Source organism: Homo sapiens, chromosome 8 (genome assembly GCF_000001405.40).
Source record: "Homo sapiens chromosome 8, GRCh38.p14 Primary Assembly".
Classification (NCBI taxonomy): domain Eukaryota; kingdom Metazoa; phylum Chordata; class Mammalia; order Primates; family Hominidae; genus Homo; species Homo sapiens.
The window spans coordinates 93,630,362-93,647,481 of record NC_000008.11 but is presented as its reverse complement, the minus strand read 5'-3'; the positions used below and the strand labels follow the sequence as shown (position 1 = coordinate 93,647,481).

At 37.4% G+C, this 17,120-nt stretch overlaps 1 long non-coding RNA gene and 1 pseudogene across 1 annotated transcript in view; one reads left to right on the top strand and one right to left on the bottom strand.

The window, feature by feature from the left end:
- The window catches only part of CIBAR1-DT (CIBAR1 divergent transcript), a 353,967-nt gene that overhangs the window by 52,952 nt on the left and 283,895 nt on the right, over positions 1-17,120 (top strand). The gene's annotated exons all lie outside the window — the stretch shown is intronic.
- ZNF317P1 (zinc finger protein 317 pseudogene 1) lies at positions 189-1,416 on the bottom strand (annotated as a pseudogene).

Here is a 17,120-nt window from a genome sequence, read left to right as displayed (position 1 = left end):
TTACAGAGATTCTCCCTAGTGTGCTTATTATTACTCATGGGCCCAGGGGCTAGAAGTAGTGCTGAAGTCATTTTGACATTAAATGCCAAGCTGGGGTTTCTCGCCTTAAGTCCTTCTGTGTTTGTTAAGAGCTGAATGTACCCTGAAGGCTTCTGCATGCTACAGATGTACATTTTCACCCTCTCTCACCCAGCGTGAGTTCTCACAAATCTCCTATGGGATGAGAACACCTCGTCTTCCCACAGTTTTTACAGGAATTGGACTTTTCCCAAGTTACTTGGATTCTTTTGCACCCAGTAAGATGCGGGCTCACAGAGGCTTTCTCCTACACCCGTGAGATCTGTTTCTGGTCTGAGTAATCCTGTTTCTTTAAAGCAGGCGTGCTCACTGGAGCCTTTTCCACATGGACGACTCAAAGAGCTTCTCTCCCCGGTTAGTTTTCACGTGGCTCCTGAAGGAATAATGTTCGCTGAAGGCTTTCCCGTAGACAAGGCATTCATAGGGCTTCTCCCCGGTGTGGATCCTTCTGTGCACGTTCAGGTTGGAGCTGACGCTGAAGGCTTTCCCACAGTGATCGCATTCCTACGGTTTCTCCCTCATGTGGCTTTGCATGTGCTTCTCCAGCGTTGACTGGTTCCTGAAGGCTTTGTCACACTGCCTACTCTCAACGCGTTTCTTTACAAGGTGAATGCTCGTGTGCCTCCGCCGGGATAAATAATCACTGAAGACTTTCCTGCAGGTGGCGCAGTCGTTAACGTCTCTCTTGTGTGTGTATCTTCCTGTGTGCAGTGAGGCTTGAGCTCCCGCTGAAGGCTTTCCCGCAGAGACCGCACCCGTACAGTTTCTGCCCTGCGTGAGAGTTCATGTGAGTCTTAAGGATGGACTGGTTTCGGAAGGTTTTCCTACACTGCCGACATTCCACGGGTTTCTTGACTATGTGAAGTCTCATGTGTTTCCTCCGGGGACATGATAGCTCTTCTCCGCCATGTGGTTCTTCTTGCGCAAATTAAAGTTCGACTTCCAGCGGAAGGTTTTGCCGCACTGCGTGCATGCGTAGGGCTTCTCCGCCGTGTGATTCCTCACCTGCTTGTTGAGGTGGAGGGGTGCCAGAAAACTTTCCCACAGTCGTGACACTTACAGGGCCTCTCTCCAGTGTGCGTTCTTTTGTGTGCAATGAGGTGGCAGCTCTGGCCGTATGCCTTCCTGCACTGATCACACTTGTAAGGGCTCTCACCAGTGTGAAGTCTCGTGGATTTTCAGGGCTGAGAGGGTCCAGAATGCATTTCCACACTGACTGCAGTCAAAGGGCTTCTCTTTGAGGTGAGTTCTTGCATGGCTCCTAAGGGTTGAAGGGTCGTTGAAGGCTTTTCCGCGGTCGCTGCACTCATAACCCTTCTCCCTGGTGTGTATTCTCCTAACCATTCATGAGAAATCCGCCCCCACAATCCAATCACCTCCTACCAGGCCCCACCTCCAACATTGGGAATTACGTTTCCATATGAGATTTGCGTGGGGATACACATCCAAACTATATCAGAGGTTCTCAAAGAGCTAGTGGCCCTGAATACAAATGCAAAAGATTTCGGCATCTAAGTGACTCTGGCAGGATGTGGAACAGGGAGTCCAGAACAGCTGTAGGATCTATGAACTCAGAGACGTTCTGCCCCGTTTCTATGTGATACATGAAACAAAACCAGGATAATCAGAATGCTGTCACCATGGATAAGTTAGAACAGATAGGTTAATTTTTTCAGAGCTGTTAAGGCTGCTTAATTTCTCTTTTAATTTTCTTTACAACATGGCAAAAGCAGTTCTATTTTTCTATTCCTACAAATCTTACTCTATTCTTATTGGGATCTGTTTTTCTTCTCACCAGGGCCAGGACTGGGATGAGGCAACCCAGGCTGCTAGATAAGTGTGCAGTATTTAAGGAGGCACTTCCAGTGCCAGTCGGACAAGCACAGGGCTGGCTCAGAGTGAGTGGCATCTGACACTGCACTCACAAACCTCACCCTCGACCCAGCCCTGTTCCTCAGTTTTAGATCTTCCTCCTCCATCAAGTTTGTGGTCCAAAACAAATTTTGCTCCAAACTGTTCCATTATGAGCTCTCTTGTGACCATAATTCTCCCAATATTTGATTTTATCCCCATATTCAACTTAATCACAGTGTCCCAGGATATTCAGAATTTGCAGATGTAAATATTACAGAGAGAATAATTCTTTTGTTACTTTTACTGACTGGTATTTCTGTCCTTACTAGGACTATTTCTACCACTTTTATTCACGTAAATATAGGCCCGGCACGGTGGCTCATGCCTGTAATCCCAGCACTTCCGGGGCTGAGGCGGGAAGATCATTTGAGGTCAGGAGTTCAAGACCAGCCTGGCCAACATGGTAAAACCTTGTCTCTACTAAAAATACAAAACAATTAGCCAAGCGTGGTGGTGCATGCCTGTAGTCCCAGCTATTTGGGAGGCTGAGGTGGGAGGATCACTTGAACCTGAGAGGTGGAGGTTGCAGTGAGCCGAGATCATGCCACTGCACTTCCAGCCTGGGTGACAGAATGAGACCCTGTCTCAAACACCCCCAAATATATATATTAAATTATATATATAAAATATATAAATTAAATTATATATAAAATATATAAATTAAATTATATAAAATATATAAATTAAATTATATATAAAATATATAAATTAAATTATATAAAATATGTAAATTAAATTTATATATAAAATATATAAATCAAATTATATATAAAATATATAAATCAAATTATATATATAAAATATATAAATTAAATTATATAAAATATATAAATTAAATTATATAAAATATATAAATTAAATTATATATATAAAATATATAAATTAAATTATATATATAAAATATATAAATTAAATTATATATATAAAATATATAAATTAAATTATATATATAAAATATATAAATTAAATTATATATATAAAATATATAAATTAAATTATATATATAAAATATATAAATTAAATTATATATATAAAATATATAAATTAAATTATATATATAAAATATATAAATTAAATTATATATATAAAATATATAAATTAAATTATATATATAAAATATATAAATTAAATTATATATATAAAATATATAAATTAAATTATATATAAAATATATAAATTAAATTATATATATAAAATATATAAATTAAATTATATATAATATATAAATTAAATTATATATATAAAATATATAAATTAAATTATATATATAAAATATATAAATAAATATATAAATTTAAAATTTACGATTTCTAAAGGACAATTACAATTGCTAAAATAAAAGCAAAATGGAAACCCACAACAAAAGCCCTAAGTAACTAGCTTTTAGATTACACACAGCCAAAAAAAAAAAAGAAAAGAATTTGTTTCTTAAATACAGTCTGCTGCATAAACGTCCCCTGGAGCACTTTAAGTAATTCTGATACCCAGATCATATCGGAATTCAATTAAGTAAGACTCTTTGGGGTGGGCTGATGAATTAGTACTTTAACAAACCCTACATGAAATTTTTATGAAGGCTGAAGTTTAAAAGCTACTTGTAGCAATAAATGCAAGGCAAGCAGAAAAAGTTGAGAAAGATAAATACAGCTAAGAACCATGGAGGGGGCAGAAGATAAAGAACTGAACCATTTCTAACTGGAGTTACCTATGAGAGACAGAGAAGGAACACAGGCAATTACTGCAAAATATAGTGGCTGTAGATTTTTCATTTCAGGAGGAAAATATAAACAGATTGAAGAGATAAAAAGAAATCTTAGGCACAAGGAACCAGAGAATACCAATGGTAAAAAGAGTATCTTAGCAGCAACCAGAGGAAAAAAGACAGGTTACCTTTTAAGCAATAGTTCTCAAACTTTAAGTTACATCAAAGTCACCTGGAGGTCTTGTTAAACCACACTGTAAATATCTCTCTATTAAGAAACAAACCAATCCCGGGCACAGTGGCTCACACCTGTAATCCCAGCATGTTGGGGGGCCAAGGTGGGTGGATCACTTGCACGGAGGAGTCCGAGACCAGACTGGGCAACATAGCAAGACCCTGTTTCAAAACAAACAAAACAAAACAAAAATCTCACATTTCTAGGCCCCATCCCCAGGTTTCTGATTCAGAAGATCTGGGGTGTGGGGTCAAAGAGTATGTATTTCTAACAAGTTCTCAGGTGATGCTGATGCTGCTGGTCAGGAGACCACACCCCAAGAACCACTGCTTTAAAGAAACAAACGTTAGACCAACATCTGACTTCTCATTAGCAACGGTGGAAGCCAGAAGATAGTGGAACATCTTCATAGTTCTGAAATAAAATATAAAATCTTATAACCACCAAAAATGTCCATGAGAAAGAGGGAAAAACTGTATCTTTGGGCTTGCAACCCACAGAAAAGAGACATTATCAAAGATGTACTTCAGGGAGAAAGAAGTAATCCTTTGATTACTTAACCAAAGCAAAGAGTGTAAGAATTACATCAGAGTGTAAGAATCAAGTAAAGCACTCAAAATGGCAAATGTGAAAGTATAATGAAACAAGAAATGACGGTATGCAACAATAATAAAAATTTCTTCTGATAGTTAAAAAAATATGGAACTAAATATGTGCAACTATGATATATCAATAAAAAAACCCAAAAATGCATGATGAGAAAATCATGTAAATCAGGAGACTAACATGTATCCAAATCTAGATTTAATGAACAAGCAAGGGTAAGAATTGTTTAGAACAACCACCGAAATAATAGAGTAAATAAATTCAAAATGTACAGAAAATAAAAAAGGAAAATGACAAAAATACGCAAACGAAGCTAGAGAAAAAAAAAAATAGAAGACAAATGTAACATTCAAATATATTAATACAGAAGATGTTAATGGAATAAATGCTTTAACTAAAATATAAATATTCACAGAATAGATCAATCCAATTTTGTGTTATGTACAGGAGACATCTAAAATAGAATACAGTAAGAATGGAAATAAAGGGATATATAAGGTAAGTAGAAAGAAAAGAAAGCTGCTTCGAATGTTAGTATCAAACAATAGATTAAGGCAAAAAGGCTCATAGAGAAAAATAAAGTATTACATAATAAAAAGATCAAGAAAGAGGTGTGTGTATGTATAAAACATAGCCTCAAAAAAATGAAAAAAAATAAAAATAAAGGGACAGAACTCTAAGGAGAAATGATGAAGCCACTACCAGAGCTCTCACAAATACAGTTCAAGCAGACAATTCAATAACTACATGCAGATTGAACATGATGAAACAGCATTTCCTAACTATAAAATCCAACCACACATGGGGCCATGTTTGTCCTAGAAAATGCTTGACCACAGAGCAATGAAGTTAGCAAACAATGACCAAAAGATAACCAGAAAAAAAGTCATAGAAATGAAAATTAAAAGAAAAAATTCTAAATCCGCATGCCAAAGAAGCCATGATATTTGATATTTAGACTTAAAATGCAGTAAAGTATGATACTGCAATTCTTTGCAAAAGTAATTTTTTTCTTTTAAAGCCAGTTTTATTGAAAGATAAGGAATCTCTTTACAGCAGGGGGCAGCAAACGATTGCTTTTGAACTATGTATAGGGCAAATGAAAATTGTAGAGGTAGCTTTTCTGTTTAATTGTAATTAATAAGCCCCCAAATAAGACAATGGAAATCTTCCTTGGTCTTTTCTTTATTCTTTTAGAATAAAATTACTTTCAAGCTAAAAGTAAAACTTAAAAGTATTGCTTTAAAATATTAAATTTACAAAAAGAATATGTAATATCATCTTGACCTGAATCTTAATATAAATGTCAGCATCACTTTTTTTTAGTCTTGCCATGTTGGCCAGGCTGGTCTCAAACTCCTGGCCTGAAGTGATCCGCCTGCCTTGGCCTCTCAATGTGCTGGGATTACAGGTGTGAGCCACTGCATTCAGTGAGGACTTTATATTTGACAAATAACTTTCCACCTCTTTTTCTCAATTAACGAATGTAAGAAGAAGCCCTACTCATAACACATTTGAGGTACCAAGGAAAGTTCTATGCATGGGGAAATAGTATATATTTAATATATGGCCAAACATTTTATATGTAATACAAATATTACATAATATAATATAATATAAATACATAATATTTGTATTACATATATTTGTACATTTTATATGTAATATAAGATTTTATGTGTACAATAATTATATATTTATATTATAACATTTTATATGTACAATACATATTACATAATATTTATATTACATATAATATTTGTACATTTATATATCTGCATAATATTTAATATTTATATGTTTTTCCCTTTTTTGGTCCTGACTGTAGTTGACCCCTGGGTCCCACTTCATTGACTCACATGCTTTGTAAAGACTCCTCTCAAACTTAAGCTCCTACGGAGCGTTGAAAAAAATATTAATTTTATTTTTTAACTTTTTTTTGAGACAGAGTCTCCCTCTGTTGCAGGGTGTGATTATATTTCACTGCAGCCTCAACCTCCTGGGCTCAAGTGATCCTCCCACCTCAGACTCCCAAGTCGCTGGGACTACAGTTGTGGGTCACCAAGCCTGGCTAATTTTTAATTTTTTTGTAGAGATGGGGTCTCACATCTCACTATGTTGCCCAGGCTGGTATTGACCTCCTGGGCTCAAGCGATCCTCTTGCCTCAGCCTCCCAAAGTGTGGGATTACAGGTGTGAACCACTGTGCCTGACCCCTCTGTGGAGTGTTTTTAACTCCCAACCCCACCTCACCCTACCAGCTGAGCCTTCTCAACAATATGATTGCTTCCTTTCCTGAACTGCTATGGAGTCATGTTTGCATCTTTCTTTTAACTCTTAAAAAGTCTACATGATGTTAGTTTCAAGACTTTTGTGTGCTAACCTTCTTGACTAGATGTTAAGCTCTTGGAGTTGATTTCTCTTTCTATCCTCTGTGGTGCTCAGCACTGCGGGTAGCAGAGTTTCTATGTCTAGGCCTTCGCACTTGCTGCTCCCTTGGCCAGGAGTGTTGCCCCCACATACTGGCATGGCTAGTTTTTTCCCTTCATTGAGATCTTGACTCAAAAATCACCTTTTTGGCTGGGTTCAGTGGCTGACAGTTGTAATCCCAGCACTTTGGGAGGCTGAGATGTATGTATCCCTTGAGACCAGCCTGGACAAGGTGGTGAAACCCCATCTCTATAAAAAATACAAAAATTAGCTAGGCATGGTGGCAGGAGCCTGTAGTTCTGTAGTCCCAGCTACTCGAGAAGCTGAGGCCAGGGGATCGCTTGAGCCCAGGAGGTTGAGGCTGCAGTGAGCCATGATTGCTCCACTGTACTCCAGCCTGGGTGACAAAGTGAGACCCTGTCTCAAAAAAAAAAAAAAAAAAAAGAAAAAATGGTGACCATTTCAGTGACTAAAATCATCCTGTGCCACAACATTTTGTAGCTCCTTTTTCTGCTTCATTACTATTTTTTCCTTAGCACATCATACATCTAGCATTCTATATTTTAAAAACTCATCTGGTTTATTTCCTGTCTAGATTGCAAGTTCCATGAGGATAGAGATTTTTGTCTATTGTGTTCACAACTGTATCCCTAGTGCTTAGCACACAGTAGGAGGCCTACAAATATTTAATAAATAAAGGAATAAATAGATCACAGCATTAAATGAATACAGTAGAAATGAATCAGAGTATATAGGCATTGGATCTGAGCCTAGAACTAATGTCAAGGGAAATGAATGATTCCTTCCAACATGTGTAGAAAGGCACTAGCTAAATTAATTCACATTTACCTAGATCAGTTAAGTTTATGAAAAGCCAACTAATTGTCTTTTTTTTTTTTAAATAAAGAGTGAGTGTATAAAGATTTCCAACTTATTTCCACAGACCAAAGGGTCTTTGTCTCCTGGATTGCCAGAGAAATGATTATGTTTCAAAGACATCTGTTCAGCTCATCATTTTTGTTTCCTCCTGTGGTTTATACAATTGAGCCCATTGGTACATATTTGTTTACATAATGTGGCATATGGTATTGGTCAGTTCTGGCCATAGAAGTGTCCTGAAGATTTGCAGTAGCACTAGGCCTCACAATGTGGTTTTTGTCATTGAAAATTTAGATTTCTGTGCTGGTAAACAACTGAGAACTAAGCCTGTTACAGGAATTTTGAATGGAAACATTTAGATTTCTCACTCTATTGCAAAATAGTGAGTTGCATGAAGATCTAGTGAGCCTATACTAAAGAAGCAGTTCTCTCATTCATTGAAGGTAAACTTGGATCTGGGCAAATTTGGGTAACTTGATATGCCACGACGAGACTTGGAAAATACTGAGAGTTTTAGTAGGATTTGTAAAATAAAAATTAATTTCACCTTTCATTCATCTGAACGCAAATATTTCCCATAAAGCCTTGCCCTTGAAAAGTTTTGCAATTTTATTTTGGAGTAAAGAAAAAAATAAGAGAAATAGAAATACTCATAGGAACATTATAGAGTTTTGCTTCTAGAGCAAGAAGGCTTTATCTTATTAAACTCTCATTTATTTAGTCGATTAATCTCAGCTTAAATTAGAATTCTTGGTTTTGTCAAATAAAAAACAAATCCGGGTTTACTAAGGAGACAGTTTATTCAAAAGGATTATTGCAAGGAGGGGAAGAGATTATTGCAGTAGGGAGAGGGGAACTGTTGCAATAAGGAGAATGCTGAGACCATAAAATCTTCTGGTATTTCAAGAATTAGGTTAAAAGGATGTTTTTGCTGCTCACTGCAATCTCTGCCTCCCAGATTCAATAGATTCTTCCGTCTCAGCCTCCCAAGTAGCTGGGATTACAGGCACCTGGCACCATGCCTGGCTAATTTTTTGTATTTTTAGAGACGAGGTTTCACCATGTTGGCCAGGCTGGTCTCGAACTCCTGACCTCAGGTGATCTGTCTGCCTCAGCCTCCCAAAGTGCTGGGATTACAGGCATGAGCCACCATGCCCAGTCCTAGAAAGGGTGTTTTTAATAAGAGGAGTGAATGAGGCAAGAAAGAGCTGGTGTGAGGAAACGGAATGAAAGCAGTGTATAGGACCATGGAACAGGCAGCGTTTTATCCTGATCCAGCCTATTTTCCAGTAAATAGCCATAAATAGGGGTGAGACCCTGGCTTAGGCAGAGGGTGGGCTAAAGTTCAGGGACCTGGAGGAAGGATTAGTTTGGCCAACAATCATTTTGTTTCTATTGATCAATAGGGACAAGAAGTTCATTTATTGTAAGCTAATCATTTATAAGCCAAAAAAAGACACTTTGGAGGGTCTGTGTCTGATCTTGTCATGGGTGAAAAAGAGGTGTCCATAAGTCTTACCTATGCCCTGTAGAAAGGGTGGTTCTTTGCAGGAAACAATTTTATGGAACACAAAAAGTGGGGGCATTAATCATTTAACCTTTGATGTCTTCTGGGAGGACAGGGGTCTGGTAAAATTCAACACTGTTAGCTTCTAAACCTAGAATGGATTCGAATAATACCCTGGCCTTGTTATCTCTTGTTTATGGAAGGACCACAATGAAAACAACTGGATAGCTTTACATTTTGACATTAAAAATTTCCTCTCCAGGGTGTTTCTGGAAAAAAAGGGGAACAAAGTCTTCCTTTCTTTTTTCACATGTGCAGAACGTGCAGGTTTGTTACATAGGTATACACGTGCCATGGTGGTTTGCTGCATCCATCAACTCGTCATCTACATTTCTCCTAATGCTATCCCTTCCCTAGCCCCCCACCCGCTGACAGGCCCCAGTGTATGATGTTCCCCGCTCTGTGTCCATGCGTTCTCATTGTTCAACACCCACTCATGAGTGAGAACATGCGGTGTTTGGTTTTCTGTTCCTGTGTTAGTTTGCTGAGATGGTTTCCAGCTTCATCTATGTCCCTGCAAAGGACATGAACTCATCCTTTTTTTATGGCTGCATAGTATTTCATGGTGTATATGTGCCACATTTTCTTAATCCAGTCTATCATTGATGGGCATTCGGGTTGGTTCCAAGTCTTTGCTGTTGTGAATAGTGCCGCAATAAACATACGTGTGCATGTGTCTTTATAGTAGCATGATTTATAATCCTTTGGGTATATATCCAGTAATGGGATTGCTGGGACAAATGGTATTCTGGTTCTAGATCCTTGAGGAATCACCACACTGTCTTCCACAATGGTTGTACTAATTTACAGTAAAAGGGTGTTAAAAAGGAAAGGTTTGTTTAGAGCTTTATACTTGCAGATAAAGTACATATTAGGAGATACATCATCTTTAGAACACTGATTAACTAAAATTATCATTTAGAAACTTTACCATAAAGCCAAGCACCCAGCCCATCTTAAGCTACTTGCTTTAAAAAAAAAAAGTCTATTTCCTGATTGTCTAGGGAATTTCATTCCACAATGAGTGACAGTGTTATGGCAGAAAATTGCATAAAGATAGAAGGAATTAAAGATAAAAAGCTAGGTGTTTCCTTTTGTTGTGTGTGTTAAAAAAAGACCATAAAAACTTAAAATTTAGATTTCTTCTTTTCAGAAATATATCGTATTAGATACATTGACTTAATGATAACTGCCCATTTTGTTTTCTTTCTAAGCTATGTGTTCATATTAAATTCTGATTTTCCTCAAAATAGTTCAGAGAAAATGAGGAAAGTGTGTATGAGGAAAATGTATAATTCTATTGAGCTTCTGAAATTCCAAGCATATGCAAAAGAAATAGAAACAGAGTAGGGGTGTGGAAACTTTTGAGGACACTTTTGTAGGTATGGCCACCTTACAGGGAAATTTATTCTTACTGGGCCCAATCCGTGAGGAAGTCTGGTATCCAGATGGGGTTTTGTCTCTCACCAGTGGGGTGACCCCAACATCACCCAAATTTTCTTAGCTTGTTTCTTCATCTGTTAAATACAGAGTAGATGGCCTGCAAGGGTAGGCCTAGCTGTAAATGTTCACTGTATTATCCTAAAGCTAGAAATTCCTTGATTTATGAAGCAATTTAAAAAACCTCAGATCATCAATATTTTCAGTTCAAAAAGATTTGCAGGAGATGCAGTTAGGGAGGAGAGTGGGAAAGGAGAGAACAGAAAGATATAAAGTAGATGGCACAGGAGGGAGATTTTCTCTGAAAAGAGGTAAGTGCTCAGAGAAAAAAATAGTTCTTGCTGGTGACACTGTCCCCAGCACCCTGCCTTCCTCCCTCCTTTCTTGGTATCTTTGCAGATTCAGTGCTTGCGCTAAGTAAATCCCCCTCTTCCTGTTTTTCTTCTCTTCCTTCTCTTCAGTCTGCAGAGTACTCAACCTCTCACTAGCCAGGCTCACTTTGCTTCACGTCTTAGCTGCACCTGTGACAACGCATCGCCTTTTCCCAGGGCCCCATGCATACAGTGTAGGAAATGCCTTCCCTTGCTATTTCCATTTCCAGACAGTAGATGTTGCTGGTTTACTGTCAAAAAAGCCTTCCTGATTGTCCATTTATAAATGTTCTGATGTCTCATATAACAAATTCGATGTTGAACTACCTGAGAGTTAGATGTGCTAGATTTTTACTTGTTTGTAATCACATCTTCTAGGCAGTAACTTCACAAATTTATGTAAAATTTGCAAATAGTCCCTCCACATTTTGGATATTTCTATAGAAGAGTTATTTTCTGATTCTGATGGCAAGTGGTAGGGAAAACTAGCTCTCTGCCTTAGAGATCTTCATTAAATCGTGCCGTTCCCCATGAGTTGCCTTTTGGAGTTGTTGTTGTTGTTGTTGTTTTAAAATCTGTATAATTGACAATATCTTCCAGCTAAAATTCTGCAATTCTGATTCCAACAATAGTTTTTAAAGAAACTTCAAATTGTATCACCCATTTGATTTTTTTGTCTTTGTATATTTCCCTTTCTTTTTAAGCCAGAAGACATCCTTTAGTCTTAAAGGATGCAGATGAGAATCAGTTTTCTGGAAACAGTTTGCCATTTTCTTTCTAATGCTGTGGCAATAAGCTAAACAGAGTGTTATAGAGCAGATGTATACATCTGCACAATAGATAAATAAAATGATATACCACCATTAGAAATATCTGCCTACCTTTTGTAAAAATTCCAGAGATGACTTCATGAAAAATGTCTTAAGCATTTTCATGAAAAGCAAAATCGTGAAGAAAATTTATCATTAATAAACTTGTGATTTTTGTAACTCTAGTGACTGATGATTCCAATATGTAATTTTATTTATTTTACTAAATGTTGGTTTAAGTATAAATTAAATCTACTTTAGCAGTTTTTTCTTAGTTAAGTTATAAATGTATTATATTTACATAAATGTGAATCTGTGTATTTAAAATATAAGTTCTTTTTTTAGGGGGGGTGGTATTTGACCAAACGATATTCATAGCCCCAAACCTAAATGCATAAATTAGAATAAGGCAGGTTTAACTTCCATTAAAAGGTTTAAAAAAATTCATTGTTTTTCACAAAACCTTGAATCATATTGGTTTTTCTTAAAAATGTCTAAATAAAAAACCAATCAATCAGTTCTTGATGCTGTTGTTTAAGAGGGTAACCTAACTAAATTTTAGGAGCTAAGCTGAATTTTTGTTGAGTTCTGCTATTAGCATTAAAAACACTTAAAAGTGTCCCATATATTCCCAAATCTAGTGATTTTGAATAGATTATAATCTAAAAATGATCTCTGACATCTCTCCTAACAGTGGAGAGGCTATTCCTGTTCCCCTCTTAGTTTCTAGTTACCTGACGGCCTGAGCACCGAACACAATGCCTCCTTGACTTATGATGGAATTGTGTAGCTGTCAATTCTAGATTTATTGCTTAGTTTGGGAATGAGCCGTTTCAGTAGCGCATGCCCTGCAGATCCTTCAGAACGAGCAAAAACTGTTCATCTGAGACAAAATATTAGTCTACACCTCACATGCCTGCAATTCTAAGATTATGCAGGATTTTTTTTTTCTGAATAAAGTTAAAAATCCAAAATGACAACACAAATTTTTTAACTTCATCCTAACTCGGCGATATTGCTGTCTGGCAACAGCCTCAGCCAACCCCATGATTTAGATTTCAAACTTAGTAAGTGAGAAATCATCTTCAAGAGACAGAATACACAAAGCAGCAGTTGCAACAATATCCTTCTACAACACAGGTTAGAAAGAACATCAAAAACACAGTGCCAAAATTATTAATTTTCTAGAGGAAAATCACATGAAGCAAATCTACTTGTAGAACCAATAGAGTTGCATGCTTTGAAAAGTGCTTTAACTGGTAATAACACACAGTTATTGAATTATATGTTCAAGACATTGGAATTGTTGTTAATTTATACTTTAACTCTTTCATAACTCAATTTACTTGAAGAAACCAAATATCTTTAAAAGCTGAAGTTCTGAGGACTCAGAATATTTTCTGGAGCCGGACTCAGTGCCTCATACCTAAGAATGAGACAAGGAAGGGTAAGGATGCAGGTATTATATTATTTCCTCTTCCTCCCTTCCCCTTCTCGAACCAGTCACTATTGGATAGAATAGTTTTGCTCAGAAGTTCTGTTTTCAATTTCAATATTGGAGACATAAACTAACCTTTCTCTCTTCCAAACAATAGTATTTTTAATAAGATTTATTTCTGTTTCTTCCATCAGGTTCAAAAATCAGTGGCCATTTGAAATCTTTCCTCTCCTTTGGTCCTCCTATAAACCTTCACTACATTCTTTCTCTAAAACGTTTCCTCTTTGGGATCATTAAAATAATTGTCATTCTCTCCTTCTCACACTGGATTTGACAGGTCAGATTCAAATTAGTTTATCTACAACATTGCTTTTTATCTTTTTCCTCATCTTTTCTAGAACTTAGAGTTTAGACCCTATTGCTGGTAAGAGCAAATACTGACTTTTCTCTTAGATTTTTATTTTTATTTTTTTTGAGACAGGGTCTCACTCTGTTGCACAGGCTCAGTGCAGTGGCATGATCATAGCTTGCTGCAGCCTTGACTTCCCAGGCTCAAATGATCCTCCTACCTTGGCCTCCTGCGTAGCTGCGACCACAGGCCTGCACCACCATGCCTGGCTAATTTCTTGTGTTTTTTGTAAGGATGGGGTTTTGCTACGTTGTTCAAACTGGTATCGAACTTCTGGGCTCTAGTGATCTGCCTGCCTCAGCCTCCCAAAGTACGATGACAGGTGTGAGTGAGCCACTGAGCCCAGCCATTGCTGGTATAGTTTGAAGACCCTGACATGACTGTCATGATCCTCACTCTTCCCCCAACAATGGTAAGGCTCCTCTTACACCACACCTCCTCCCTGCCTTGTACCTCTTTCTGTGATTGTTCCACTTCTTGGCCATAGTTCATGCCATCTCTGCCCAAGTTTTCTTTTTGTGTATTCAAATTCAGTATTTTTTCATTCCAGTCACGTTGCAAGTCCCCGTGCTTCATTGTTCCCCTGAGAGTGCCCAACCGACCCTTTTCCTATTGGAAGTTCTTGCTAGCATCTCTAATGGACATTCCATGGCTTTCCTTGCATTCTTCCTATGGCTTCCCATGACTGCTGCTACATCTCCAAGAATATTTCAAACTTGTGCAGGCTGAGACTATTGATAATTTTTCAAGTCGCCCACCATGTTTTTGTTGTGGTTGTTGATGGCATTTGTTTTCTCCCTCAGGATTCCAAGGACTGCTCCCTGGAGCACTCTTCACACAGGAGAAGGTGGTGGCTATTTGTTTGCAGGTTCCTTTCTTTTGAAGAAAGAAAGAGGACTGGTGTGTGATTGGAAACATAGCTTCTACTGATTGACTTTTCTCAACAGCTTTGTTGAGAATGTAATTCACATATCATAAAATGCACCTGTTTTAAGTGTACAAGTCAATGAAATTTAGCATATCTACAGAGTTGTGTAACCTCCACCACAACCTAATTTAAGAATATTTCCATCACCTCCAAAAGAAATGTTGTTCCCATGTTTAGTCACTCCCCTATCGACTGGCATTTAACACACCAATATTTTAAAACAGTGAGTGATTCGCAAAGTCTCCATTCAATAGTATGGCTACTGAGGAGAGGGAACACTATTAACCAATTTCCTTTCTCTTTTCTTTCTTTTTCTTTTTTTAAAATTTACATCCAGAAATCTAGACCTCACAACTATTAACCAATTTTTGATGGATCTTTTACTCTATTATAAATTTTCCCACCACTTATGAATGCTTCAAGCTATTGTTTGGGTATTCCAGTTTTAGAAATTTTGTTTGTTTTTTGATACCTCAAACTCCAATAGGTAAGAACATTCACTTCTTATGCAATTGTAGATTTTTTTTTTTAACGAGAAACTTTTGTCAATAGGACAACTAATTCAATCACCTTTATTGAACAGATAAGTCCATTTGATTTTTACAACACTGAAAAAAGTGATTATTTGATCAAAAACAATTGCTGTTTTATTCAAGATTATCAAATAATTTGTGTGCATATAGTCTTACATCTGCATTAATTAATTAAAAAGTTGGTGGCAGAGACATAGGACATAATATAACAAATAATTTGAAAGGAGTATTACTTAGGAACCTAGCTATGTGTCTCACTCCAAAGCTCAATGTGTTTATCGAAAATTGACAATAGTAATTTAAGACATTTTATTTGACAGATGGGCATGGTAGCAAGTAAAGACACTGGTTTGTAGATGGCAAATCGGGACTTGCAGTCAATCTAGGTACCTTATGCACTTGTGACTACTTCTAATATTTGGAAACCATTCGTCAGAGGCTGACATATTGATTTGTTTATTTCTTTATTACTTCTTCAGGGTTTTCTGTATAGCCTGTGGATTTTACCTTCTAAATCTTTTTTCGTTGTTGTTATTTGTTGAATCTCACTCTGTTGCCTGGGCTGGAGTGCAATGGCACAATTTCAGCTCACTGCAACCTCCACCTCCTGGTTTCAAGCAGTTCTCCTGCCTCAGCCTCCTGAGTAGCTGGGATTACAGGCATGCACCACCACGCTCGGCTAATTTTTGTATTTTTAGTAGAGATGGGGTTTCGCCATGTTGCACAGGCTTGTCTCGAACTCTTGGGCTCAAGTGATCTGCCTGCCTTGGCCTCCCAAAGTGTAGAGATTACAGGTGTGAGCCACTGCACCCAGCCCTTCTAAATCTTTTTTGAATCTGTCCTCTTATCATTGCCCAGCTCTCAAGTCCTCATTATCTTTCTCTTGGATTTTTTTTAGTACAATCCTCACTTATATTCCAGCTTCCACTCTTGTGCCCATTCCCCTGACTCCAACCCTGAGCCTATCCTCACTCTGTAGCCAGAGTGATCCCTTGAAACTAAATCCACCCACGTCAGTTTCCTTCAATGTGCCTCCACCATGAGAACAAAGGCCAAGCTTCTCAACAGAGCAGACAAAGCCCTCCGTGTCTTGCCCTCTGCTCATACCTTGGCCCAATTTCCTGCCAATCTCCCCACACATTTGATGTTCTATGAACACTTTACTGCTGTATGCTTCTCTGCACACACCATAATTTTTCATGCTTCTCTTCACGCAGTTCATATTCCTGCAGTGGTTGTCTTTCCATCTTTCTTTGCATAGGTAATTTTGATTTTTCTTTCAAGACAGTCCAGGTGTCATCTTTTTCAGAAAGGCTTTCCTTGACCACAGATTAGGTGAAGACCCCTCTTCTGTACTCCCATGAGACCTCTTGCTCACTTCTATCACATCACTCATCTCATCATTTTGAATTAATTTGGGTGTGTGTCCCCTCACTGGTATGCAAATTCCTTGGTGGCAGGGAGCATGTTTTAATCATTTCTGTATTCCCAGTGTCTGGTAGGCAGTAGGTACTTTATAAGGGTTTGCTGCCCTGATGTGAACTTTATTGAATAAATGACTAAATTTCTTGGTTCATGGATCATTTCTGGGTTTTATTTTTTGGTGCCCTTTTTCTAGATGTTTGTTCATCTCAGTTTTGTCACCCTAATTTGCAACCAATGTTTTCTAGAATCTGCTGGGTACAAAACCTTTTTAAATGATATTCATGGGAGTAAATTAAGCCTGATCTTAGGATGAAAAATGGTAGATGAAGGTTTGTGTAGTATTTCTTCAAAGAACAG